Below are 26,280 nucleotides of genomic sequence, written 5' to 3'. Positions count from 1 at the left end.
TTGGCAGCTTGCTGAGAACAAGGTTTTGTGAGAAGGAACACAGAAGGGAAGGATGTGTGGAATTGTCAGTGGAAATGGTGGGAGTGGGGTGGGAGGGGGAGAAGAGAAGCTATTAAAATGGAGATAACGAAGCAGAGCCAGGGCCGTGCTCACTATTTTCTCTTCCTAGACACCCAAGAGGACTAGGACTTTCCCAGTATCCTTACAGTAAAGCTGGGCTCTGTAGCACGCTGCTGAATCCTGCCAATGGAAAGTGGCTGGAGGTGAAGTAAGCCCACTCCAGGCCTGATCTTCAGATTACCCCCTGTGATCCTCCAGTTTTCACTTTCCCTGTGACAGTGACCTGGGAGTCCAAGTGTCTCAGATGGCACAGCTACCAGATGGAGGGGGCTGTCTGACCTACTTTGCTGTATTAAACCTTGCGATTTTACTTGTCACTGCAGCAAAACCTGTATTACCTGAACGAACACACATAGGAAAAAAAGGTACTAACAAGTTTCTGGATTTTCCCCAGATAGAGCATAGAAGTCGTGATCTCAGACTCCAGAGTCATTAAGTTCTAGGTTCAAATCCCAGTTCTTCTATTTCAGTTTCTTTATTTTAGTATGCATCTGTTTCTTCTTCTGTAAAGTGGGGGTTGAGTTAGACAATCCCTGTCACTCATTTGGTCCATTGCCTGCCAATAGTAAGTAATCAGTGTTGGCTTTTATGTTGAATGATTAAAGAGGCAATGTAGTGTTAGGAATGGGCATAGGTTCCAGATCTCATTTCCACGTACTGTAAATTTCTTTTTCTATCAAATAGGATTAATGACAAACCATAGCGGACTCACCAGCGTTGGTGTGAGGGTCCATGTGATTATGTTGGTGATTGTGCTGAGTAAACCATAATGCAACAGAGACAAGGTAGCTGTTTTTATCACTACTGATATTAACCCTACATCTAGCACACAGAAGTGGTAACTTAGTTCAGATATGCGGAGGACAACCTCAGGCTCACACACACTTGCTGGCCGGCTCCAGAGGGGCGGAGGCACCTACAGGAGGACCACCTCCATCTGGGTAAAAGGGAGGGGTTGGGGGGGAGGGTCCCTTCAGGACACCACTGCCTCCATCTCCCCATTAGAGAGAATCCCTGTGACCCCAGCCTCCCAAGAGCTGAATTCCCCAGGGATGCCTGGGGGAGTCCCAGGTGGAGAATGTGGTGCTGCCTTCACTGATGTCTCTGCTGGAGAAGCATAGTCTGGTCAGATCTCCAGGCACTGCCCAATTCCCAAGGCTGACCCTGGGGAGATATGCCCCACCATCCTGGGCATGGGGCTGTGGGTTAGGGCAGAGTGAGGGAAGGGGTGTTGAGCTTTATGTGGGGTGGGTCTTACCCCTTCTCCCCCTGGAGCGGGGGGTCATTGGGCAAGGCCTTTGCAAGTACCCACCATTTGAGCCTCCTGAACTACTCCTGAAGCTGTCCCTTCCCCACTTCCTGTGCCGTGTGTTGAGGGGCCGCCCTCCATCTACAGTTGAGCTGGTGCAGCTAAGACCTCATGATCATGCCCACTCTGACTGCCAGATGCAGATTTATCATGAAGCTATTGAAACATTCTTTAGGCTCATTCACTTGCATGAGCCCCTTCTAATACCTAATTTTGTATTCTTTCTAAAGAGATGCCCCCAAATTGTATATGCTTAGGATTCACAAAACCTGGTTCTGCCCCAGAGCCCTGCCCTGGGGCAATTTCTGGGCCTCTCACTGTAGGAGAGGACAGAAAGGGGATAGAGGATGTCTGGGTCAATGGATCCAGCTTCCTGTTCTTGCCTCCTTCCCTGAAGGGCCAGGACATGTGGGTTCCTTTTTGGCCATGAACTGTGGCACTGAACCAGTCATTTTCCCTTTCTGGCCTCAGTTTGCTCATCTGTAAGCAAGAGGGTTAGATAAGATGGTTTAAAAGGCCCCTTTAGCTTCTAACCTTAGAAAATGGGGCACCTTATTAAGACCCTATGGGGACAGGCCTGGCCAACCCAGCTGAGCAGCTCACAAGGCACCAGGCCTTACTGGAGCATTTTCACTGTTGTTGTAAATGAGGACTGCTGAACTCCTGGAACAGGGTCCCAGCCTACGACAGGATCCCAGGTCCGGGAATCAAATCCCCAGAGTGAGGGGGCCCAGATGTGTGTGGGTGTGGGGTCCCAGAGAAGAACAAGAATGACCCCTTCCCTGGTTTGGGGAGAGAGCTATGGGGAGTGATGAGGAAAAATTCACTGACAGCCATGCCTTCTGTTTCCTTCTAAATTTGGGATGCACCCAAGTCAGAGATGGGGTCCCTCACCACTGTCTAACCAGTCTCCCTAAAATGCAAACTTTGTTGCTGGGAAAGGCATGGGGCTTACTCTTTATTAACCGAATCACCGTCAGGGTGGAGGCGGCTGAAGCAGCAGGGCTGATGGACCCTGGGAGTTCATTCTTCTCTCATGGGGTGTGGGCGATGGAGTTAGTCAGACGGACGTTCAAATCCCAGCTCTCTCACATCCTGGCTATCTGGCCTGGGGCAAATGACTCAGTCTCTCTGAGCCTTGGTTTATCTTCAAAACAAGGGAAACTAATATCTACCTCATAGGATTATTCTAAGGATTAAATGAGATAACGTGTGTGAAAGTGCCTGGCACTTGGTAGGCCCTTGTGGCCATCTGTCCTACATTATAATCTCTACTCTTTGGGAAGGGGATGGCTCAGGTGCTCCTGCCCCAGGGGTCCTAGGAAGCAGATGGGGCCAGGCAAGGAGTGAAGGTGAGATTGGGGTCTCAGCAGGGAGCACTGCCTGTCTGCTGGAGCAGTCGGAGGCCCAGACACTTGGGTCCCAGCTATGCTCATGGAATGAGCAGCAGAAATGAGAGCCCCTCTTCCCTCCCATGCCCCTTGCTCAGGCAGGGTCCTCTGTGGGGAGGCCTGGAGCCTTTGTGAGTGTGGGGCCCTGGAAAGAGGCCCTAGTGGCCTATGGAGAAGGCCCCCGAATCGGTGGACTGCTTCTCCGCTGTGGTCTGGTCGCTGGGGTACACTGGGTTGGTCAAAGCCGCGATTTTCAGCGTAGTCTCATTCACCTGCAGGCGAAAGAGCTGGTGTTGTCAAGTTCTGACTATGGGCAATGTCCTCTTTTGTGACCCCATTTGACAGACTCAGCAGTGGGCGCCCATGACCTAGTCATGAGGGGAGCCAGGACATCTGTGTGATCCCAAGGCCCCTCCCATGTACCCCGAGGGCAAACAGAAACCCCATTCATCCCATGGCCTCCCCTAGTCCTGCCCCAGAAATGGAGAGGGGAGGTGACGGGGTGGGGACCATGACAGAGATGACCCACAGAACCCCCAAGATTCTCTGCAGAGCCCAGTCTTGGCCAAGCCTTCCCTTGTCTGGACCCCAAATATTCATTGAGGCCTGGTGAACCCCCCTTCAGAAGGCCTCAGAAGGGGAGCCACTGAGAGTCCCTGCCCCTGCCTGCCCTGCCCCCTCTCCCTTTTATCCAAGGGTGCCCCTTCCCCAACTCACCTCCTCAAACTTCTTGGCTTTGTACTGGTCGGCCCCCTTGAGGAAGTTGAGCAGGATGATGTCACAGAGAACAGTTCCCTGGAGGAGGAGAGGCAGGGCGGGCTCCGAGGGGTGCCCTGGGTTGGGTGGGATCAGGGTGGCAGGAAGTGCTGGGCTCGGGCAGCACCCCCAAGCTGCCTAAACAGTGGGCAGGACATTTCACCCTTGCAACAAACTTTTGGGATAGTGCTATGGTTTGAATGTCCTCATCCAAACTCGTGCTGAAACTTAATCCCCAGCGTGGCAGTATTGACAAGTGGGGCCTTTAAGAGGTGATTGGACCCTGCGGGCTCTGCCCTCATGGATGGATTAATCCGTTCATGGATGCATGGATTAATGGATTAATGGGCTATCATGGGAGGGGAGCTGGTGGCTTTATAAGATGAGGAAGAGAGATCCGAGCTAGCATGTTAGCAGATTGCAGGCCAGGGTGGGGACCAGTCCTCCAGGGAGGACTGAATGATGTTCCCTCTTAGAAAAATGCCCAGGGACTTTGCAGGATGTTTCAGGGCTGCCTTCCCAGCTCCTAGGGGTGACCCAGACCACAGCTGCACAGAGAGAGGACTGCGTGGGGTGGAAGGGTGGAAGTCCCTGAAGGCAGGCTATGTGCCCACCATGCCACGTGGGCTCTGTTCCTCATTAAGGCATCTCAGGTCTGCAGAAACCCAGAGCCTCCTCCCCCAGCTATACGGTGAGAAACGGGAACTCTATAACAGGTGGAGTCTCCTGAAAACGGGAAGGCTGCTTCCGGAGGTAATGAGCTCTCCATGACTGGAGACGTTCCAGCCAGGGCTGACGCAGCAGGGTGGTGGCCAAGGAGACTGAAGCACCTAGCAAGTGGGGGTAGGGGTTTTACATTCCAGGCAGAGGCAGAGTTTTGCCGCCGTCACTCCCCTGCCTGCTGGTACCAGTCCGGGCCCCACTCTGACTGGCCCGTCAGAGCGTGGAGGGGCTGAACTCACCACTCCCACAGAAGTAAAGGCCGCCACAGAGCTGATGATGGTGGGGATGATGTTGAACTTGCCAGCCTGTGTGCACAAAGACCAAGGCAAGTGGGCAGAGGGCCCATGGGATGGGGGTGAGGCCCGAGGCTGCACGTGGCGCCAGAAGGGTTCTTGGTGGATCAGCAGATCCCTCCCCTTCACGGGACAGGTGAATTGATGGGAGAGTGACCCACTGAGGGTGTCAAAGCTGGCCAGCAGCAGACCCCTGCCCCCCAGAGGAGCTTTTTCAGAACCCGAGAGGTGGTCTGGGCTGCCTCCCCTGTCCACCCCATCTGCCTGGCCCATGGACTCACATTCCCGTATACCAGCACGTCGAAGCGGATGCCAAAAGCCTTCAGGAGGGTGCGGTACTCACTGCCATTTTCCATTTTGTAGTACTTGGCAAACCTGGAGGTCAGAGGCAGAGATGGGTCCCTCTGTGGGATCCTGTCTCTCCTGCCTGAACCTTCTGGGTCCTCCAGAGCCCTGTGTCTTGGCTCACTGAGCAACCCTTACTTACGGTTTGCTGAGACAACTGCCACGCTCCTCCCTGTGTGGTTAGCTGACCCCTCACACAAGCATCATCTTGGGGGCTTGTTATAAAAGCAGATTCCTGAGCTCCACCCTGAACCCACAGAATCAGCATCTCTGTGGGTGCAGCCCAAGAACTTGCCTTTTATTTATTTTTATATTTTTGAGACAGAGTCTCATTCTGTCGCCCACATTGCAGTGCAGTGGTGCGATCTTGGCTCACTGAAACCTCTGCCTTCTGGGTTCAAGTGATTCTCCTGCCTCAGCTTCCCGAGTAGCTGGGATTACAGGCACGCGCCACCATCCCTGGCTAATTTTTGTATTTTTAGTAGAGACAGGGTTTCACCATGTTGGCCAGTCTGGTCTCGAACTCCTGACCTCAAGTGATCCACCCGCCTCGGCCTCCAAAAGTGCTGGGATTATAGGGGTGAGCCACCGCGTCCGGCCAGAACTTGCCTTTTAAATAATTTCCATCAGTGATTCTGATGTGCTAGAAAGTTTGAGCCACTGCTAGACTCCAAGCTTCTTCAGTTCCATTTGTCTGGGTCTCCCAGAGCCCAGCTCACTCTGCTTATTTGGGCTCAAAGCCTGGCTCTGCCGCTTACTGACTGTGCAACGTTGGGCCAGTTACTTAACATCTCTGAGACTCAATTTCCTCATTTGTGGGTGGGAATACTATACAAAAGTCCTGCTTCATAAGGCTGCCATGAGCATTGAGTGAAACCACACACGTCAGGGGTGTAGACAGTGCCTGGAATACATTAAGCACTCAGGAAACCCATTGTTGTTGTTTACATTTATAGAGCAGTTTTGAAAGGTGCTTTCAGACTATTCGTCTCATTTCACCCTTGCAACAAACCTTTGGGATAGTGCTATGGTTTGAATGTCCTCATCCAAAACTCATGTCGAAACTTCATCCCCAATGTGGCAGTATTGACAGGTGGGGCCTTTAAGAGGCGATTGGACCCTGCGGGCTCTGCCCTCATGGATGGATTAATCCATTCATGGATTAATGGATTAATGGGCTATCATGGGAGGGGAACTGGTGGGTTTGTAAGAAGAGGAAGAGAGATCTGAGCTAGCACGTTAGCACACCCAGCCCCCTCTCCATGTGACACCCTGCGCCCGAGACTGCAGTCCCCACCAGTAGGAAGACTCACCAGATGCGTCTGGCTCCACAGCCTTGGACTTCTCAGCCTCTATACATGAAGAAATAAATTCCTTTTCTTTGTCAATTACCCAGATTCAGGTATTTTGTAGAAGCAACGGAAAGCGGACAATTATAGATAGGCATGTGATTGCTCTGTTTTTCAAATGAGGTTCTGAGAGGGTAAGGAGACTTGTCTGGGGTTACCCAGAGCTGGTGCTGAGTTCACCAGCTGGTGAGCTCAGCACTAGATTTGCCCAAGTCCAAGATTTTGACCCCTGCACCTTCTCTGCCTTGGCTTCTGGGTGCCATGAACCATGCCGGGGACTCAGGAAAATGATCCCATTTCATTCTCACCACAAACAGGGGTTAGTGTTCAACACAGAGACGTGAGTGTTCAGACCCCCATTTTGTAGATGCCTATGGTGGGGAGGAGATTTGCCTGTGGTTTCGCAGTTAGTGAAGTGCTGGATTTGGGATTCAAATCGCATCAGTCTTTCAGCTTCTAAAGCCAGTGCACTTCCTGCTGCGTGGCTCTGCTCATCACGGGCCAAACTCTAACATTAGGAAAGTGTCATCTCTTTGGGCTACTGTCCTACAGCTGTAAAATGGGTTCCTGATGCCAGTAACTTTGGAAAGTGGTGAGGATTAAGTGAAATCACAGGAGTGAAAGGGCCCAGAAAACTCCTTAGCCGTGTGGGGTCCACATTGTTCCCTCTCAGTGTCTCCAGTCCCCACAGATTCCCAGGCCTCTCCCACCAGGGGCCTGAGAAACTGATTCCCTGAAAGTGTTCAGTGATTGACGTGATGCTCCTGACAGGGATATTTGCATTTGAACCTGTACAACAGAGAGAAGGAAATGCTCAGCCCCAGTGAATCAGTCATTGAGGGATTACAGGCATGGGAGGAAGATAACTTGTGATGGGGAAGGAGAACGTATGCCACTATCTGCTCTGGCTGCCATCTGGCAGTGGGGCATTCTGGAATTAGGCAGAAATGAATCTAAATCCTGGCTCCCCCACTTGTTAATGTGGCCTCTGGTGTTCCTTAGCCTTCAGGGTGTCCATTTCCATGTCTATAAGCACAGGTGTGCTCATGCCCTGCTAGAAGGTCTGTTGGTGAGACAGGGTAAATGCGAACACCATTGAGATTCTTGTGTTAGAGATTCTGTCTGCTCCTCCACAGCCATTCTCTGTCCCTTCTGTGCCCAGCTCTGGGCCCTGAGAGCCTGATCTGCAAAGACCGCTTTGGCCTCCGTTTCCAGGTGGGTTCAGCCAATGGAAGGCGCTGAGAGGAGATCAGAGGGCAGGGAAAAAGAGAGGCCAGGGCACTGAGGTGGCTGGGCAGCCTCAGCTTTTGTTCAGGTTCTGGGAATTGCTCCTCCCCTCACTCCCGCCAGCCTAGGCGGTAGCAGCTTGGCCTCACTGCCAGCACAGAGGCCCTTCACTGGCCTGGTTAGTTCCCTTCCCTTTACCTGGAATGCACCTTTGTGTATAGTCTCTTTATTCAGTCACCCCTGTGAGACCACCCACTGTTTCCCCTCAGGTTACCTACCCTGACCACTCCCACTTTACAGAGGAGCAAGCTCAGTCCTAGAGAGCTTTATCTGGGTCAGGAGGGAGCACTGGAGAATGGGTGACACATTTTCTGTCTCTGCCTATGCGTGGGCACAAGCAGAGCTGGTGTGCCTGAGTGATGTACCTGTTGCTCGAGTAAGGCTGAGAACGACTCAGTGAAAAAAAGGTTTCCAGGGCAGCCTGACCTGGGAAGGTGTTTCCTTGTGGGCTGTGCAGCTGAGGGAGGGGCAGGGGAGGCAAGGGGATCCCAAGAAAGAGTAAGACCCAGAGTAAGAATGAGAGTGGACCTTGGAAGGCAGCAGAAAGAAGTGCAACCACTTATCCGGAAGAGGGCTTGGAGGTCAAGGAAAGAGGGGAGGGGCTAAACCAGCTTTAAAATGATGCTAAGTTCAAGTCTAGGTGGTGGAGGAAGACAGCCTCACAACCAAGGCAAAACAGAATGAATTCAAGGTGCAGCAAAAGGAGGATAATAGGATGGACACAAGAGAGGGCGTCATTTCTATAAAGATGACAGGGCCTAAGAACATAATTCTCCAAGGAGGACTCTCGGGATATTTTAAAGAAGTCTGCAAAAGAAGTATCTGGAATGGGCAGAAGGCTCCAGGAGGTCCTTATAGACCATCACTGTCTCCATGCCCACTGTTTATAGAGCACCAACAATATAGGAAGTTCCTTAATATAAGCATCTCCACTAATCTCATGAAGACTATACTGTTGTTGAGTCATTGTACAGATGAGGAGACAGGTGAGAAGATAACTTGCCAGAGCTGGGATTCTAATCCATACCGATGCCTCCAAAGTTCATGCTCATACCCCTTGAACCATCCTGCCTCTGAGCTCTTGGAGGCTGTTAAGGATAACGCAGCCCTTGTGCAAGATATCAAAGCCTTCTAAATACTGTGTCCTGTCTCACATCACTGGAGAATTTAAGGCCCTTGTCTCAGAGATGTGGTTCCTCATGCCCATGGGTAGTGGGCAGGGGTGAGAGGGTGGATCACAGAGGTTTGGGGCAGGGCAGAGGCTGGGCCTGTCATCCGGAAATCTTTACTGCTGGCCAAAGGCTGCAACCATGAAAACGGCTCTGACAGTGACATCAACTTGGAGAACAAAAAGTCGTATCCTGGGCACTGCCGTTCAAAGTGAGGGCTGGCTAAATTTATCCTGGGAAGGAATGTGAAGGGAACAGGGAGAAAAATCAAAGCGGACTTGGTTTTTCTCCAGCACCTGCCTTCCAAGAGGCAATAAGCATGGTAAGATCATTATCTCACCAACCACCCACCCTCTGAGGAGGGTTGGCAGGGACTGGTTCTCTTCCCGGGTGGAGGGAGGAGGAACAGAGCTCAGGGAGTGTGGGCCCAGGCTGCAGACAGAGGGGGTAACCCAGAAGTCCCAGCTTCTGCACTCTCCTGTGGCCGATGGGGATCACAGAATCTGCCCACCCCTGTGACAGAGACAGCTCATTGGTCACCAGGGTCTGGTTATCTCCTCTCTTTGCAGATGATTAGACCACATTTCCCAGTCCCCTGCATTTAGCTGGGGCCCCATGACTAGTTTTTGCTGATGAAATATGAATGGCCGTGAGGTTTGTTACCTCTGGACTGAGGTAGTTTAGAGCAGTGTACCTTCTATGTCTTCCCTTTCCTCACCTGATGGCCAGTTGCTCAGGAGTCAGGAGAGGACTCTGAGGCTCTAGAGAGACTGAGTCAAGATGGCAGGAGCCTAGATCCCTGAATGACTGCATGGCGCTCCCCACCCCCACTGGCCCACAGTGCACTGTGCCATAGGTAAGAAATCAACCTTCACATTAAGCCACTGAAATGAGGGGTTTGTTTGTTATAGCAACTAGCAATGCTAACCCTGACTGTTGCAAACTCTCAGAATTTCATGGCTGAGAGATGTAATTTGCCAAGGGACAAAGAAAGAGCTGAAGTTGGGGAGTTACTCAGGATTAGACAGAGGGCACAGTCCCATGATGCTATATCCCAGGAGTAAACCCTCTAAGGAGGCCCTAGGGGATCTGGGTGTGGTGCTATGGCTGTTGTGAATTAGCTTCTTGATCTTGGGAAGGTCATTCGACTTCTCTGAGCTTTTTACTTCAACTGAAAAATTGGAGGAAAAAGAGCTCTGAGGAGGATGAGTTGAGAGAGTGTCCATATATAGTCCGTGCTTAAAACACATCCCTTATCCTAGCATAAAGATAAAATGAAACAATATCTACATTTACTTTAATCATTACACTCTCCTGGCTCCTGTAGATAATGATATTAGTAATAATAACAGCCAACATCTACTGAGTACTCCTCTGTGACCCGACACTGTGCTAAGTGCTTATGCTTATTAGCTCATTTAATGCTCACAACCACCCCATTGCATTTAAGTACTGTTGCTATTCCCATGTCACAGCTGAGGAATCAAGATCAGAGAGGTGAAGCAACTTGTCTAAGGTCACAAAACCAACAGTGAGTGAAGCTGGGATTCGAACCCAGGCAGTCCAGCTGTCGGACCCACACTCTTAGCCAGCATTCTACACTGTTCTTTTGTTGCTTGATTTCTGTTGGGTCATAACTAATTTCGTTCTCCAGCTGGTGCATCTTTTTGCATTTGCTAGGTGGGTCTCCATACCCAGAGTCACTGGCTGGGAGCAGAACAGGAAGCCTGGGGGGCCATGCAGTGTCAGGACAGAAGGACCCTGTAGCCTCCTCATCTAAAAAGGGGAATGGCTCAGCTACATACACCATGCCCAAGCCTTGATTTTCCCCAAGTCCTCTGGTTCTTACCAGATCATTTTTATTTTTTTGGTTAGGATTGGGGTTGGTGAGAATGACAGGACCATTCGATACCTTGACTCCTCCCGACCTGGCCCAGTCCACCTGCCTTATCTGCAAGCTCTTCTCCCTGCCACACGCTCAAGTTCCAGCCACACCAGACTACCTGCCTTCCTGCATTTCCTGAACACATCCCACAGACACAGATGTCTATGCTTTTGCCCATGCTGTTCCTCTTGCCTCCCTTTTCCACCTTGCAGACTCCTATTCATCCATTAGAGCCCAGCTCAGATGACCTCTTGTTCTTTCAGCATTCAACAAACATTTGGAGCACACCTGCTCTGTGCCAGATACTGTTCTAGGTACTGCTGATACCTTGCCAAGCTCTGCTGTCATGAGAGGGAGAGAAATACTAATTAACCACACAAGCCCATAAGTAGCTAAAATCGGACATAAGGAAGGGTTGGGAAGGAGAGGAGTGCCATTCTATGAGCACAGTTAGATGTCTAACCTAGGCTGGGGGTTAGGCAAGGCTTCATGTGAAAGTGACCCTGAAACCGGCAATACCATTTAACCCAGCAATCCCCTTACTGGGTATATACCCAAAGGAATATAAATCATTCTATTATAAAGATACATGCATGCATGTTTATTGCAGCACTGTTCACAATAGCAAACACATGGAATCAACTCAAATGCCCATCAATGATAGACTGGATAAAGAAAATGTGGTATATATACCATGGAATACTATGCAGCCATGAAAAGGAATGAGATCATGATCTTTGCAGGGATATAGATGAAGCTGGAAGCCATCATCCTCAGCAAACTAACACAAGAACAGAAAACCAAACATTGCATGTTATCATTCATAAGTGGGAGCTGAACAATGAGAACACATGGATACAGGGAGGGGAACAACACACACTGGTGCCTGTTGGGGGTGCAGGGGGAAGGAGAGCATCAGGATAAATAGCTAATGCATGTGGGGCTTAATACCTAAGTGATGGGTTTATTGTGCGGCAAACTACCACGGCACACGTTTACCTACGTAACAAACCTGCACGTCCTGCACATGTATCCCAGAACTTAAACTTAAAAAAAAAAAAAGTGACCCTCAAGCTGGGGCTTGAAGGATGGAGAGTTAAAAGGGCAAGAAGGCCAGAGGCAGGGGCCGCTTTCCTGGCTGAGGGATCTGCAGGCCCTCTCACGGGAAAGAACGTGGTGTTTCTGAAGCAGCTGGAAGAGGGTTGGTGGGCTGGTGGGTAGAGGCAGATGGAAGTGGCAGCAGCTGGGTCCACACATCCCAGCTGGCAGCCAATTGTGTGCATCTCTTCCCAATTCCATGTTTAGTGACTTCACCTTGGTAGCTTGAAATTGACCATCCTGGAGTATTTACCTCACAGAAATCCAGCCAATGCTACAAACCAGGGGCATGAGCTGGGGTTGGGACATCCCCCAGGGCTGCCTTTTCTCTCTCCATTAGGATTCAGGCCTCTACTACAGTATCTGCCACACCAGACTATAGCTAATAATTTGGACTACGGACTATGAGCCATATCTCGCTGTTTCTTTTTCTTTCTTTTTTTCTTTTTTTTTTTGAGACAGAGTCTCGCTCTGTCACCAGGCTGGAGTACACAGTGGAGCGATCTCGGCTCACTGCATCCTCTGCCTGCTGGGTTCAAGTGCATCTCCTGCCTCAGCCTCCCAAGTAGCTGGGATTACAGGTGTGCACCACCATGCCCAGCTAATTTTTTGTATTTTTTTTAGTAGAGACAGGGGTTCACCATGTTGGCCAGGATGGTCTCCATCCTGACCTTGTGAACCGCTCACCTCGACCTCCCAAAGTGCTGGAATTACAGGAATGAGCCACCGCGCCTGGCCTCATATCTCACTGTTTCTGTTTGCCCAAAGGCCTAATGCTCACAGTAGGGGGTTGAGTAAATGCTTGCTAGAAGAATAAATAATTTCTGAGATTCTTGACATCTCAAAGATTGAGTTTAGGTAGGTTGTCCTCAGGGCTCCCTCCTGCTGCCACTGGTTTCTCCAAATGCTCCTGATTCTGCAGGTGGAGCTAGTATAAGGTAGTAACAACAGGCTGCTTCTCTCCCCAGCAGAACACAGTTAGATTTGGCAGCTAGCTAGGTGGGAAAGTGGGTGCCACTTGTGGGAGCCAGCCTCTCGATAGGGGCAATGCGGGAAAGAGTAGGAAAATATATGTGGGACAGTTACTCCTGCTAAGCACTAGGCTAGAGGCTTCCACACCTGTTGTTTCATTTAGGCCTCACAACAGCTGAATGAGTTAGCTGGCGGCTTACGCACTTTGAAATGAGATAGTCCTGGGCCTGAATCCCGGCTGTGCCACCTAGTTTATATGACCTTGGGTGAATTACCTCTCTGAGTCTGTTTTTCCATCTGTAAAATGGAGATGAGAGCAGTAGCTCTAGGGTTGCCTAGAGGATTAAATGACTATGGAATGTGAAGGCTGAACATAGTACCTAGCACACAGCTTTCTCTTAATATTGGGTACTGGTCATCAGGCAACATGCCTGATTTTACAGGTTGGGGAAAGGCACAGACATGCTCCATAGGCTACTCTGCCTGCAAGGGGCACAGCTGGGATCTGAAATCTGGCTGCTTGACTCCAAAGCCCTTGCCTACCCCTACTGCCTCCCTAAGAGAGGAGCCAAAAGGAGTTCCTTGCAGCCTCAGTGGGCAGGGAGCTTGCTAAGCTGGTGTCTGTGAAAACACCTCAGCTGTGGAGAAAGCACAGCATGGCTGTGACTGCAATGATGCCATAGGCATCAGAGGAAAGAACAGAGCCCGAACAGCTGCCAGCGCTGAGCTGGAAAAGGGGAAAGCAGCCCAGAGGCACAGGCAGGGCCAGAGTTTTCAGGGTCGGGGGCTCCTCTGACAGGCGTGGCTGGAAGGGCCACTGGAGCCCAGACACTTGAAGGGCAGCGGGGATGGTTACCTGGTGGGCCAGAGACTCTGCACTTGCCCCAGGAGCCAGTCTCTGGTCTGGGCAGCCCTGCAGGTGGACCTCTGCAGCCCACATTCCCTGGCTTCCTCCCCCCTGGTTTCTGGGGAATTTGGTCAATGGGCGGCACTGGCAGGGGACCCGAGGGTGGGAAGGAGGGGATGGGGTATGTATCTGCTCGCTGCTTCCCTGCTCTGCCTTGATTTTGCCTGTGGCTGTGTCACTTTGACTGCTGCTCCTGTCAGGCACCCCAGCTCAAAACCAGGCTCCCATTCCTCCCGCGGGGGCGGCAGGTCTACAGTGGTGACGGCTTCCCACTTTGTTCATCCCTGTGTGCCTCGACTCCCATGCTGGTTCCTGTTGTGTAAATTTCTTCACAAACCCCAGCTGAATGTGCTTTGCCTCCGGGGCCTTCACTGAGACACCCCTAGCTGTGACCAGACAGGACACCTCTAACACAGGACTCAATCGAATGATTCTGAGGCCTAATAGTGCTGGGATGTTGTGCGTGTGAGTGCGTGTGTGTGTGAGTGTGCGTGCGCTCCCTTGTGGCATTACCAGCAAGAGATAAAGAATGAGTAAGTACAAACGTCAATTACCATAATAAATCATTTGTCAGATGCGCTTCTGCAGGGCAGGGCTGGAGCTCCATTCCAACGTGATTGTGATAGGTCTATAAATAATAGTGCATGCTTCAGCAGCCCAAATTTCCACAGCCCTTCCTCAGACACCCACACATGTTGATTCAGACTTTTAGGGCTTGAAGGAGCCTAAAAGATCATCATCTTTAACCAGCCCATTTTACAGAGGAGGAAACTGAGGCCCACAGAGGCAATGAGACGTGCTTAACATCACATCCAGGATTAACAGCAAGGCCTGAACTGTAGCCCACATCCTTCTGCTTTACTTCTGCTTCATCCTGACCATCCTTGGCTTGCCCCAGCATAACATATATATATTTCTTTTGTATAAGCATTTTTCGTTATTTGGATTCAAATTTATCATCACTATATTAAAACTTGCTTGATTCTAGGAACTGGTCTTGTTCATCTCTGTATTCGCCACAAAGCCCAGCATGTGATATAATCTGGAAGTTGAAAGAGACCTTCAAAGTTCTCCCTACATTATCTACAAAGGGTTTCCCTGCCGATGCCTGAATACATTCAGTGCAAGGAAACTCACTACCTGTAGGAGCAGCCCAAATTTAGCTTTGGATAGCTCTAACTGTTAGAAGTACTTCCCCATGCTGAGCTGACATTTGCAGTAGTCAGCAGTCAATAAACGTTTGCTGAATGGAGAAGGGTTTTTTTATCACGATGTACAAATCCCTTGGAAGCTCTCAGACATCTGTTTAGAAATGATCCATCCTCTCATCGAGTGGTGGAAATTCCTTCTTAAAGCAGGGACACGTAACTGTTACAGCAGCAGGAAAAACAGCAACAAACTTGCCGGAGCCGGGTTTGACTTGCAAGGGAAAACTTGGGCCTGGAATTTGGGTTTCTAAGTGAAAGTGGTGGTGTTCTCAGCAAAGCTTTGCCTGGTGGGAAGTAATTTTGCCAGCTGAAATACACTTTTACAGTTGATTTTATACTGATAGGAAAATATCTCCTGGCAGACTCTTTGCTTCAGGGTGGGGCAACATCCTTAGAACAGGCTGGAACTCTTCTCCTTAGAGAAGGGCCCAAAGCCATACTTATTTATTCATATTCCAGGCACCAAATCAACCTCAAAGGCAGGCATTAAAAAAAACGCTTCTTGTTGATCTTTAAAAATGCATTACTATTAATTTATCTTTAATTAATAAGGTAGGGAAAGATCAATGGACCTGGAGCCAGAAGATGTACCTGAGAGCCAGTTTACTCGCTCTCTGCTCCTGAGAGGGATCTTTTTGGCCTCAGTTTCCTCATCTGTAGAATGGGCGTTACCATACTGGTCCTACTTGTGGTTGCAAGCACAGGTTCTGGAGCCAGACTGCTAGGGTTTGAATTCTGGCTCCAGCAGTAGGAGCTGTGTGGCCTTGGACAGGTAGATGAAACCCCTGAGCTCAGGTATCCAGTTCTAAAATGTTCTCTTGAGTTGTTATATCTTTTTTTATTTTTTTGACAGTCTCACTCTGTCACCCAGGCTGGAGTGCAGTGGTGAGATCTCAGCTCACTACAACCTCCGTCTCTGGGTTCAAGCAATTCTCCTGCCTCAGCCTCCTGAGTAACTGGGATTACAGGTGCGTGCCACCACGCCTGGCTGATTTTTAAAAAAATTTTTAATAGAGACAGGGTTTCATTATGTTGGCCAGGACAGTCTTGAACTCCTGAACTCGTGATCTGCCCGCCTTGGCCTCCCAAAGTGCTGGGATTATTACAGGTGTGAGCCACCACACCTGGCTCTAAAATGTTCTCTCTTCAGGGTCAACAAGATAATCACACAGAGAACCTGCTAATTCTCTGGCTCACTGGTAAGTGTTCAATGAGTGTTAGCTAATATTTTCTATGAATAATACTGGTTGCTGTGAGAATAGGGTAGACATGAACATGATAAAGGGCTATCTAAATCCAAGATCACTCTAATTGCATCACTTCCACTGAAACCTAAAAATGATGAAGAAAATGGATTATGGAGAATTCAAGCAAGTACACTTCCCATGGAAGAGGGCCTTCAAGTGTTTCTGTGGAAATGACGGTGCTGGCTGCTTTTAACGCATATTCTATGGCTTTTGGAAAGAGAAAAATCCAGATTGTAGAGAGAATGATCAAAGCCAAGGGTGCACTTCGATTCTGTCTCTGTCAATTGGCCTAAGATCTTGCTGATCCACACGTTTCTGCCTGGAAGCAGGACAGGCGCCAAATCTCCGAGCTTCATGAAAGCTGCTGTGGGTACATTTCCAACATAAAACGATCACTAGAAACACCTACCGCACCAGGAACATCTAGCAGCTGAACAAATGTTTTTTTGTCCCAGACACCAAAAGAGGAAATCCAAAACTGCGTTGCCTTTTAGTAGCAAAGCTGTCTTAGGAACTCTCAGAGGAGAAACAAGAAATCAGGCATTTTGAAATGCAGTTTCGATTCTCTCCCGTCAATCACACCAGCCATCACTACCAGGTATATCTCTTAGAGCTATTTTTTTTTCCCCTTTTTTGCAGGCCATGTGATGGCGCAAGGCATGCTGGAAGCAATGGATATAGATCAAATCCCTGGGTTTGAGTCCTGATGTGCCTCTTAATTAGGCTGTATAATCTCAGGCAAGTTTTGAAATCTTTCTGAGCCTACCTTGGGGGTGGGGGAAGATGGTGAGCTGTGATCTGTCAAAAATAGGTGTGAAAGGGCTTTGCAAACTTAACTCTAGGGCTCTTAATCTGAGGTGCAGGGATAGGCTTTCATTTATTATTTATTTTTTAGAATTTTTAATCTTATTTTTGTAGAGAAGGAGTCTTGCTATTGCTGCCCAGGCTGGTCTCAAACTCCTGGCTTCAAGGGATCCTCCCGCCTCAGCCTCCCAAAGTGCTGGGATTACAGGCAGGAGCTTCCACACCTGGCTACGGGATAGGCTTTTAGAGGGCCTCAAAGTCTTGGAATTTTATGCTGCATAAATATAAATGCATAGAATAAGAACTGGAAAGAAACTCATTAAACCGTCCCAGATGTTAATTCCCTGCAAAGGGTGCAGGCCTGGGGGAATGAAGGGGACTTCCCATGTCATTACTTTGTATATATCAGTATTGGTTGGATTTATTACTCTGAGAATGTATTTGTATCTTATTTGTAGAAATGAAATAACCTGGCTAGGCGTGGTAGCTCACGCGTATAATCCCAGCACTTTGGGAGACCAAGGTGGGTGGATTACTTGAAGTTAGGAGTTCGAGACCAGCCTGGCCAACATGTTGAAATCCCGTCTCTACTAAAAATACAAAAATTAGCTGGGCGTGGTGGCGGGCACCTGTAATCCCAGCTACTGGGGAGGCTGAGGCAGGGGAATTGCATCAACCCGGGAGGTAGAGGTTGCAGTGAGCCGAGACTACTGCACTACTGCATTCCAGCCTGGGCAACAGAGCAAAACTCTGTCTCAAAAAAAAAAAAAAAAAAAAAGAAATAAAATATCCTTTAAGAAGAGAACTTGCCTGTGAATTTTCTCATGTCTATGAATACATGCATCTTCCTTGGACAATGGTCCCCATTTTCATCGGGGGCATAAAGCAGTTAGAGACCTCTGAAAGTTAAGGAAGGGCTGTAATTTCACAGATGAAAGTTGTCAGGACTTGTCCTGGACATCTCTGCAGGTGCCCCTCAGGTCCGTGCTCCTCCCTTCCTCGCCCTGCCCTGGGCTGCCTCAGTGGGCCACTTTGCCTCAGCTCTGGCTTCTGGTGGGGCTCTCCTGAGTCACAGCCACATGTCAGGCTGTCCTCTGCTCACAGCTCTGTCCGTCTCCATGTTCCTGTCACTGCTTCCTCTCCTCGCCTCTTCAGACCTGGGTGGTAACCAGTGTCCTGTTTCTGGCCCTGGCACTGCACTATCTGTGTGGTTTCCGTACACCCTGCCCACACCTTTGAAACAGTCCCTTTATTAAACTCTCCTCAGATTACCCAGTTAGAATGTGCCATCTGTTTCCTGCGGGGACCCTGACGGATACAGTATTTTTAATCTGTCATTGCACCATCAATGCCTATACACTCACGCACACACACACACACTGACACACTCACTCTCAGCCTCACACATTCACCCACTAACAAATACACCCACTCTCACGAACTCGCATGTGCACACACACTCACACACACACACAACATCACCTGTTCCCAGGACTTTGGGAAATATAGTACTCTTGTTAAAATCCTGCTCCTGTGAATTGAGGGTCTACCTGGGCCTCAGAAACCTTGCCAACAGAGAAGAGAGCCTCCTGAAGAACTGCAGGGCTCTGCTGAGGGCGCCTTTCACTTGTGCAGCACTGAACTGGTGACTCTCAACAGTTCTTATTTTTAGAAATTGCTGCATTTTGTCTGCTAGAAATCCAGATGACCCCACCAACTGCAATCTCAGTGTGCTTAGAAAGAGGCTTCATAAAAATACTAAGTTAAAGCGGCCCACGGAGTCTTTAGCCACGCAGAACAGACCAAGGAGTAAAAATAAAATGTCTCCACTAAATTTCAGGTAGGGGAAGAACAGAATCTTTAGGGGATCACAAAAATAAAGATTAACTTGCATGGACAGCACCAAGTACACTGGAGAGGATTTAAAGGGAGGCACATTTTGGCTCAATTTGAGGTCACCTTTCCAATGAATGGAGCAGGCCACTTTGCTTGCCACGGAGATCAGATATCCCCCAGTGTCAGGGTGATTACATGGGCCTGTAATCTCTTACATGGGTCCGTAAACTCCTTTAAATCACAAGGGTCACATTAGGAGTTGAGATCCAATGACCTTTGAGGCTACTCTAAGATGCCCCCTTTGGAACTTCCGCTTCCTCATCTGTAAAGTGACCGCCTTACTCTGGGTGACTGCAAGGGGAACTTCAACAGCTATAAATTCTCAAAATCTCTGATTCTGCAGGCAAAGAGCTACAAAAAATAGGGGCGGGGGGGGGGGAGTGACATTTGGAAGGGAGCTGCGAATGTAATTAGTGATGGAAATGTGAATCTCTAGCTGCCTCTGGATGTCTTAGTTAGCAGATTCAAACACGGCCGAATCTTGGCTGAATAATTCCATTCCCTCCAGAGCAAATGGCAACAGTAGGGGTGTTGAAAAATCTGCCTCTGTTGGAGGGAGCAGCAAATGAATTGTTTGGGAGACAAAAGGCCGGGCTATGAATTGTGCTGCCAGCATCTGCTAGTCTTGAAATCTCCTTGGAACTTAGATTCTTTGTTTTTAAGCTGGGATGAAAGTGTCAACCACATAGGCATGCTTTTTTTTCTGAGGATTAACAAGTACAAATGTCCCTAGTCTTCCTGGCTGGGGTGGAGATCATCCAAAGAAATATGTTTTGAATCCAGGCTCCCCCTCTTGCTTGCTTTGTGACTTTGAGAATGTTATTTAACAGTGAGACTCCATCTTCTCCTTTATAAAGTTGGGGGGGATATTGTAGCATCTACTTCGTAGGGCATGCAAGGAATGCTGAGCTGAAGCACACAAAACGTTTTGCACACAGGGTGACTAGTATGGTTTCTACTGATAAGTAGCTTGGTGAGATTCTAAAAAACAGCGTACATCTTACCATATCATAGAAAGTGCACTGTGACCCGCACTGAACCTGGCTTTGTGACCCTTTCTCTCTTATTCAAGCATTCAGAAAGACAGCTTTGCAGCCTCCCACACGTGGGCTCTTAGCTTAGCCTTGGGTGCCAGTAGTTTGAGGTTGCATGAGGGTGGTGGGTGGGCACCCAGGTGAAGGGATGGGAAGGGGCTTGGGCAGAGCCCTCTGCTTGCCACTGATATCAGATGTCCCCCAATGTCAGGGCTATTACTTGGGCCCTCTGGAAACTTTTAAATCACAAGGGTCAAACTAAGCAGCTTTGCCTCCTTCTTCTCTGGCCTGGGGGACTTTGTTGGGGGAGTCAATTATCTGAGATCCTAAGAGGGGGTGGTTTCTCTTAGGCCTCTGGGAATTATGCAGGCAGGGTCTTTGGGGATATTCCGTCCTGCCTCCCCAAATACCCTCCAAGCTTATTTAGGACCAGGTCTATCCCGCATCCTTCTGTGCTCAGGTGGGGAGGGAGGGAAGGCAGCCACAGTGCAATAAATTGGAGATAAAGAACTCCAGACCAATTCTTATTTAGATGAGAGATGCTGTTCTAAAACTGTACGATATCAGTAGTTGGGGGTCTTTATAATATTCACATTCTTCATAAGCTTTTCTGCCAAATGAGTTATTTGGAGGATTAAAGAATTCCCAATGGCCAAAGGGAAGTTATGAAGATGAAAACTTGCATTTTAGATCATGAGAATTTTATTAATATGTTACTATTTTAAGCCACCATACAAATATCCTTTGTATTGATCTCAGTGTGATATACCAACTGAATAAATATGCCAATTTCTGCCAGTGAGCCGCACAGTATTTTTAACCTACTTTAAAATATGTGTTGTTTCCTATGGTTTTTTTAAAGTTTGGAGTTGATGATGAAAGTACTTCAATTTTTAAAGATTCTTCTTTCCAGAGAATATACATGTATATTTTAAACTATTAAATATAAAGCTTAATGGGGTGGGTGATTATTTTTTTAAGTTATAAATTAACAATTTTAAAAGGTGAAATGATTATTTTTGGCTTACGTATGCCATTGTATCAGAGAATACCACCTCAACAAAGGAAATTTGAGTAACATTTATTTGAATATATTCAAATATACATTCTTATGTTCAAATGTAAATGAAATATATTCTTATGTATTTTTTTCCCCTGGTCACTCCCTATTTGTTCTATTTAAGCTGTTTAGTGTATAATGCTGTGTACTTAAACAGGGCCCTGCCAGAAACTTCAGGATCTTCAAAAACTGGGGGAAATCCACAATGTATACATGTATCAAAACATCACATTGTATCCCATATATATGCAATTGTTATTTATCAATTAAAAAGAAAACAAAACCTTTAATAAGTAGTGTTGACCTTGTAGTCTACACTTTGAGAACTGCTAACCTAAGATAACTGAGTACGGTCCTCAGCACGTAGTAGACAATTGGTATGTGTTTAATGGATGAATCAATAAATGAATGATTCAGAAAAAAAAGAAGAGAGAAACAAAACAGAAAGCTGAAGCTTTTCACACATTGGTTAATTGAATCCTGAAGATCACAGTGGTACTATCACAATTTCATAGGTGGGGAAATTAGGATGGGAGAAGACAAATGGCTTGTTCAAGCGCTTTCAGTTGCTTCCAAACAGTTTGTCCTCTAATTCCTCTCTCCCTTTCTTCAAAATGGAAAAACAAAACAAAACAAAACCCGAAAAGATCCCTGAAGTCTCAAAGCCATTGGGATGATATTTAAAGACTGGTCTGAGTTCTTGTTTGGAGAGGCATTGAAGAACCAGAGACAATTATAATTGCTACTGGTGACACACGTTTGCGGAGAGAAATGCAAAGTTGCCATCTTGTAAAATGTAAAATGATACCAGTTATCACCCTTACTTTGTAGAGCGAGAAACCTTAGAAAATTCAGGCCCAGGGCAGGGAATGGGCCTATCTGGAAGTCACTTAAGCACGTCACAGTTTCAGGCCAGTGTTAGGAACAGGCAAAGAATCGCAGAACCCTAGCATTTCAAGAGACCTTGGCCCTCTCTTCTAACTACTGACCTGCAGCAGGAATCCTTGGCGTGGTCCCCTTCAGTGATAAGGAGACACTGTCTCCCAGGACAACCAGCTAGATCCTAATGGCTGTTAGAGAGTCCTTCCTGATTTGAAATGAAACCTGAGGTGGGACTTGGGGCCAGGGGTGGGTGGATGGATGTGGGATCTTGTCTCCCCAATAAACATTGCCGTTAACAGCCCGCACCTTCTTCTCCTGGTGTCCCAGGAGACAGGGAATTACCTGAAGTTGTAGCCTGGGGACACGCTGCTTTTCTCAGAAACGCTGTCGAGCCGGGTGAAGGAGTATTTGGGGATGCACTGGTCCCAGGCCTTGTCCAAGTCGCACACCCAGCCGATCTTAATGCCCAGAACTCCCCCCTGAAGAAACGGGCCGGGTATGAGCTTTCCCCTCGCCCTCTGACTCCCTGCTCTGGGCCAGGGTGGGGGTGGGGTGGAGGTGGTGACAAATGATTTCCTCCCATCCTCCAGGTGGGAGACGGAGGCAGGGAGAACGGAAAGTGACATGTCATATACTGCTCAGTAAAGAAGTGCTGTGGTGGCCGGGTGCGGTGATTCACGCCTGTAATCCCAGCACTTTGGGAGGCCGAGGCGGGCGGATCACGAGGTCAGGAGATCGAGACCATCCTGGCTAACACGGCGAACCCCTGACTCTACTAAAAATACCAAAAATTAGCCGGGCTTGGTCCCAGCTACTCCGGAAGCTGAGGCAGGAGAATGGCGTGAACCTGGGAGGCGGAGGTTGCAGTGAGCCGAAATCGCGCCATGCACTCTAGCCTGGGAGACAGATCGAGACTCTGTCTCAAAAAAAAAAAAAAAAAAAAAGGTTGTGGCTCGGATGCGAACATTGGAGCCTCTGAGTCCTAATTTTGGGATCTTCAGTGCTTTAGCTACAACACAGGAGAAAGTGGCCACAGGTCTACTTTCCCGTCGTTTGGGGCTTATTACAGATCTAAGGCCTTTGCCTGAGGTGAAGTGTGAAGATGGGAGTGGGAAACTGAGGCTTGAGGAAGGTGGACTCGGCGGAGGCGGGGGGCAAGATCGCTCTGCGCGGGGAAAGCAGAAAGGATTCAGGCACAAAGCCAGTGGCGGCCTGGGATGCTTCCACCAGGTGGCGCTGTCTCGCGGCGGCTCCTGGCCAGTGCCGGCCAAAGGGCCCTGAAATCTGGGAAAGGGCTGAAGGTGGGGAGTTTGGGGTCGCGGAAGAATGGCTAGGTCCTCACCGTGCGCGCCAGTTTGGCAAAATCCTGCCCCGCAAACTTGACCACGTCCCCTACCCGCAAGATGGGGCAGAAAGGGTCCTTGTCCGGGTGGAAGCGGCAGGTCTTCATGTCCCTGGCTGTCAGGTTGGGAAGGAGGTTTCCCCTGGGGAGGAGCAGAGAGAGAGGTCAGCCCAGGGTTCATGGGAAGATCGTCTTGTGCAATCTCTCCCCGCCTTCCGGAGCCCAGGCCTAGGGGGGATCTGAGCCCTCAGCCTTCATCTGGACCTCGCCATCTCCCTCCCCTCTTTCCTTTCCCTGCATCTTTCTGGTGCCCCATCACCGCCTTCCCTGTGTATCAGGGTGATGTATGTCGGTGACTAATCTCCAGCTGCCAGGCTGGGAGTTCGAGAGGGCAGGAATCATTCTTGGTTACTCTGTGCATTTTTTTTTTTTTGAGACGGAGTCTCGGTCTGTTGCCCAGGCTGGAGCGCGGTGGCATGATCTCGGCTCACTGCAACCTCTGCCTCCCAGGTTCAAGCGATTCTCCTGCCTCAGTCTCCCAAGTAGCTGGGATTACAGGGGTGTGCCACGGCGCCTGGCTAATTTTTTTTTTTTTTTTTTGGTACAGACAGGGTTTCACCATGTTGGCCAGGCTGGTCGCAAACTCCTGACCTCGTGATCCACCCTTCTCGGCCTCCCAAAGTGCAGGGATTACAGGCATTTGTCACTGCGCCTGGCCTAGTGCACTTCTGTAGTGACTGGCATTGCCCTCTGCACATGGCCAATGCCCACTGAGTAGCTGTGGAATGAGTAAGTCAATGAAGGGGGGCTGAACTGACTAAGAGAAAAGGGATTTCCACACATGGGCTAGATGTGGGGAAAAAGAATGGGACGAGACCGAAAGGGTTTCAACCGTTGAAGGCATCCTTGACCCACGACTAGGCCTAAGTTGTCCCTCTCCTACCCCAAGCAAAACTCCCGTTTGGGTCTGAGCCCCAAGGTGGGGAGGCTGGCAGAGAAACTGACCCCAAAGTTCACCTGATCCTCAGTGGCCAAGGCCCGCTGGGAGATTGGGAATGGTAGGCCCAGGGAGATGGGTCAGTGGAGCGAAAGTGGGAAGAACTGTGGCGAGGGGGCATCTCCACTTCCCTGAAAACAGGTTGGCAGGGCCGGGGGTGCCTGCATCTTGGCTTTAGGGAAGGAGTGGGGACTCACTTCTCAAAGTTGAAGAGGGGGAAACGGATGCTGTTCTTGATGAAAATAGTGAAGTTCTCAGCTTCCATCATGATGGGCCTGTGGGTGAGCACAGGAGGCCTTAGCTTTCCAGGAAGAAGAGGGGGAAATGAAGGCTTTCACCTGAGGGCGACCTTTCCTGGTGGATGCCTCCAAAGGGAGACCTCTTATAGATAAAGGGCACTTTGAGAGTGGGCTATAGGAAGGGGCTGTCTGTGCCTGAGTGTCACAGCAGGAGGAGGAGGCAGGTGGGTGGGCTGGGGAAGATGATACCCTGGGCCTGAGGCCACCCCCCACACCAGGAAGGGACAACACTGGAGAAAGCCACAGACCCTCCTCAAGCTCAGAGACGCACGGCTCCCACATGGGCAAAGGGGAGCTGAGGTGGGGGCCTGTCTCCTCCTGTCTGGCTTGGAGCCTTACGTTTCCACTGTGTCCACCTCCGTGGGGCACCAGCCCTGGATCTCACAGGTCCGGAGCACAGAGCTGTAGTTCACGCAGCGGCCAGTGAGGATCCCTAAAGTGAGAGCCACAGCTGCTGGGTGGCTGCCTGCCCTTTGCTCCTCTCCCTTTCCTTCCTCCCTCTTCCCTTCCCCCCATCAGGGACCCTGGCAAGTGGGGGAAAAGAGCAGGCAGGGAAAAGGGAGCTGACTTCTCTCCTGCTGCTTCTCCTGAGCCCCAGACCCAGCCAAAGGGAGGTGACAGCCTTCCTTTCATGTGCTCCGAGCCCCAGCAACCCTGAGGACACCTCTTCTTCTTGTGCTTCCTTCCTTGCCTCTGAGTCTGTGCTGCAGCTGTTCCTTCTGTCTGGAATGAACTTTTTGAAGCCCCCTCTGTCCTGCCAAATCCTATTCATCTTCAGGGACCATCCCAAATGTCACCACCTCAAGGAAGCCTTTGGGTACTGCTCACCCAGAAGCAATCTCTCCCCCTCCCCCAGGCTCAACAGTCTTTTGTACCTCCTGGACAGCACAGGCCACTTCAAGCACCCCTGTCTGTCACCACCATCCTAGACTGGGAACTCCTCTGGGGGCAGGGGCCATGCCACCTTTGTAGCACCCACTGGGTGTGGCACCCAGGGAGCAACTGTAAATGCCAGCAGAATGACATGGAACAGGCTGGTTCCCACTCCCTCTCCAACGACGGGCTCTCCCCCATGGGTCCCACTAACACTTGGGATTGTGGGGTGGGTAAGGGGCTGGACTCACCCCCACCTGGCAAGCGCTCAGGCCCGCACTGGCTGTCTGATACACAGCGGTATTTCTCCTCACTCTGTGGGCAGACGGGTCACAGGTTGGTGAAGGACACTGTCCTGGCCTGGTGAGCTCCGCGACTCCCTCGACCTCCCCATAACCAACAGCCTCAGGAGGGTGGAGGTCCCAGGTCCCAGTTGCAAGGTCAGACTTGGGGCCTCTGCTCATACCTCCCTGCCACTGCTCCCACTCCCACCAACATTTTCAGCCTTGACCTGCTTCACCCAACCTCTGTCCTCCCCTCACCTCTGGGCAGAATCCTTGCATCTGATTTTCAGTAACAATCATCTTGGTGATGATGACAAAGACCGAGGTGCCCTTGGGAGGAGAAGAAGGGAGAGAAAAACATCCAACAGTCCCAATCAGTGAGACAGGGACTATAACTGATTATCCCCACTCTACAGATGAGGAAAGCAAGGCTTGTGTCTAGTGACTTGGCCAAGGTCACAGGGCTGGTGAGGGGCAGAGCTGGCTCTTTGCAGCCACCCACATGGCCCCCTTCTCCCATGTGTGTTGTCCTTGATTGCATTACAAGTTGTGGCAGAGCCTGGAGAGGAACCCAGCTTTCCTGATGCCCAGCACCGCAGGCCCAAGCTCTCACACAGCTCTCAGCTGCTGGGGGAGAGGTCCTCTGGATCAGTGACATCATGGATTCTAGTTTGGGAATCCCATTGGCACTCTTTGCTCGCTTTCTCCCTTCCAACCTGCCCAGTGTCTGGACATCCACATGCCTCTCTG

General features: G+C 49.7%; 1 protein-coding gene across 7 annotated transcripts in view, besides 3 other annotated features; it reads right to left on the bottom strand.

Moving 5' to 3' along the window:
• Nucleotides 1-579: 579 nt before the first annotated feature.
• P2RX3 (purinergic receptor P2X 3) overlaps nucleotides 580-26,280 on the bottom strand; it is a 36,447-nt gene continuing 10,746 nt past the window's right edge. For 4 of the 7 annotated variants that reach the window (XM_011545070.3, XM_011545069.3, XM_011545072.3 and 1 more), the window contains 10 exons: nucleotides 25,789-25,860; nucleotides 25,498-25,561; nucleotides 24,713-24,806; nucleotides 24,272-24,349; nucleotides 23,078-23,219; nucleotides 22,078-22,214; nucleotides 4,874-4,967; nucleotides 4,539-4,604; nucleotides 3,538-3,615; nucleotides 580-3,092 (listed from right to left, as the gene is read on the bottom strand). In XM_011545070.3, coding sequence (XP_011543372.1) covers nucleotides 2,979-3,092; nucleotides 3,538-3,615; nucleotides 4,539-4,604; nucleotides 4,874-4,967; nucleotides 22,078-22,214; nucleotides 23,078-23,219; nucleotides 24,272-24,349; nucleotides 24,713-24,806; nucleotides 25,498-25,561; nucleotides 25,789-25,860 — 939 coding nt within the window. In that variant the 3' untranslated portion in view covers nucleotides 580-2,978. Of the gene's footprint in view, nucleotides 3,093-3,533; nucleotides 3,616-4,190; nucleotides 4,407-4,538; nucleotides 4,605-4,873; nucleotides 4,968-22,077; nucleotides 22,215-23,077; nucleotides 23,220-24,271; nucleotides 24,350-24,712; nucleotides 24,807-25,497; nucleotides 25,562-25,788; nucleotides 25,861-26,280 lie in introns of those variants that run through there. The other 3 variants (XM_011545071.3, XR_949950.3, XM_011545073.2) reach the window with 3 other exon arrangements.
• Nucleotides 2,304-3,503: an enhancer, noted in NCBI's record as "CDK7 strongly-dependent group 2 enhancer chr11:57136946-57138145 (GRCh37/hg19 assembly coordinates)". NCBI's record gives its function as "activates an origin of replication core promoter dependent on BRD2, BRD4, P300/CBP, MED14 and CDK7 cofactors, with strong dependence on CDK7, by STARR-seq in HCT116 cells {active_cell/tissue: HCT116}" and the evidence as "EXISTENCE:reporter gene assay evidence [ECO:0000049][PMID:35650434]".
• Nucleotides 7,576-8,077: an enhancer, noted in NCBI's record as "H3K4me1 hESC enhancer chr11:57132373-57132874 (GRCh37/hg19 assembly coordinates)". NCBI's record gives its function as "activates a minimal SCP1, AML or CMV promoter by ChIP-STARR-seq in primed H9 embryonic stem cells {active_cell/tissue: H9 hESC(primed)}" and the evidence as "EXISTENCE:reporter gene assay evidence [ECO:0000049][PMID:30033119]".
• Nucleotides 22,648-23,147: an enhancer, noted in NCBI's record as "H3K4me1 hESC enhancer chr11:57117303-57117802 (GRCh37/hg19 assembly coordinates)". NCBI's record gives its function as "activates a minimal SCP1, AML or CMV promoter by ChIP-STARR-seq in primed H9 embryonic stem cells {active_cell/tissue: H9 hESC(primed)}" and the evidence as "EXISTENCE:reporter gene assay evidence [ECO:0000049][PMID:30033119]".

Source organism: Homo sapiens, chromosome 11 (assembly GCF_000001405.40).
Source record: "Homo sapiens chromosome 11, GRCh38.p14 Primary Assembly".
Taxonomy (NCBI): Eukaryota; Metazoa; Chordata; class Mammalia; order Primates; family Hominidae; genus Homo; species Homo sapiens.
This window is presented reverse-complemented; position numbering and strand designations above follow the sequence as displayed.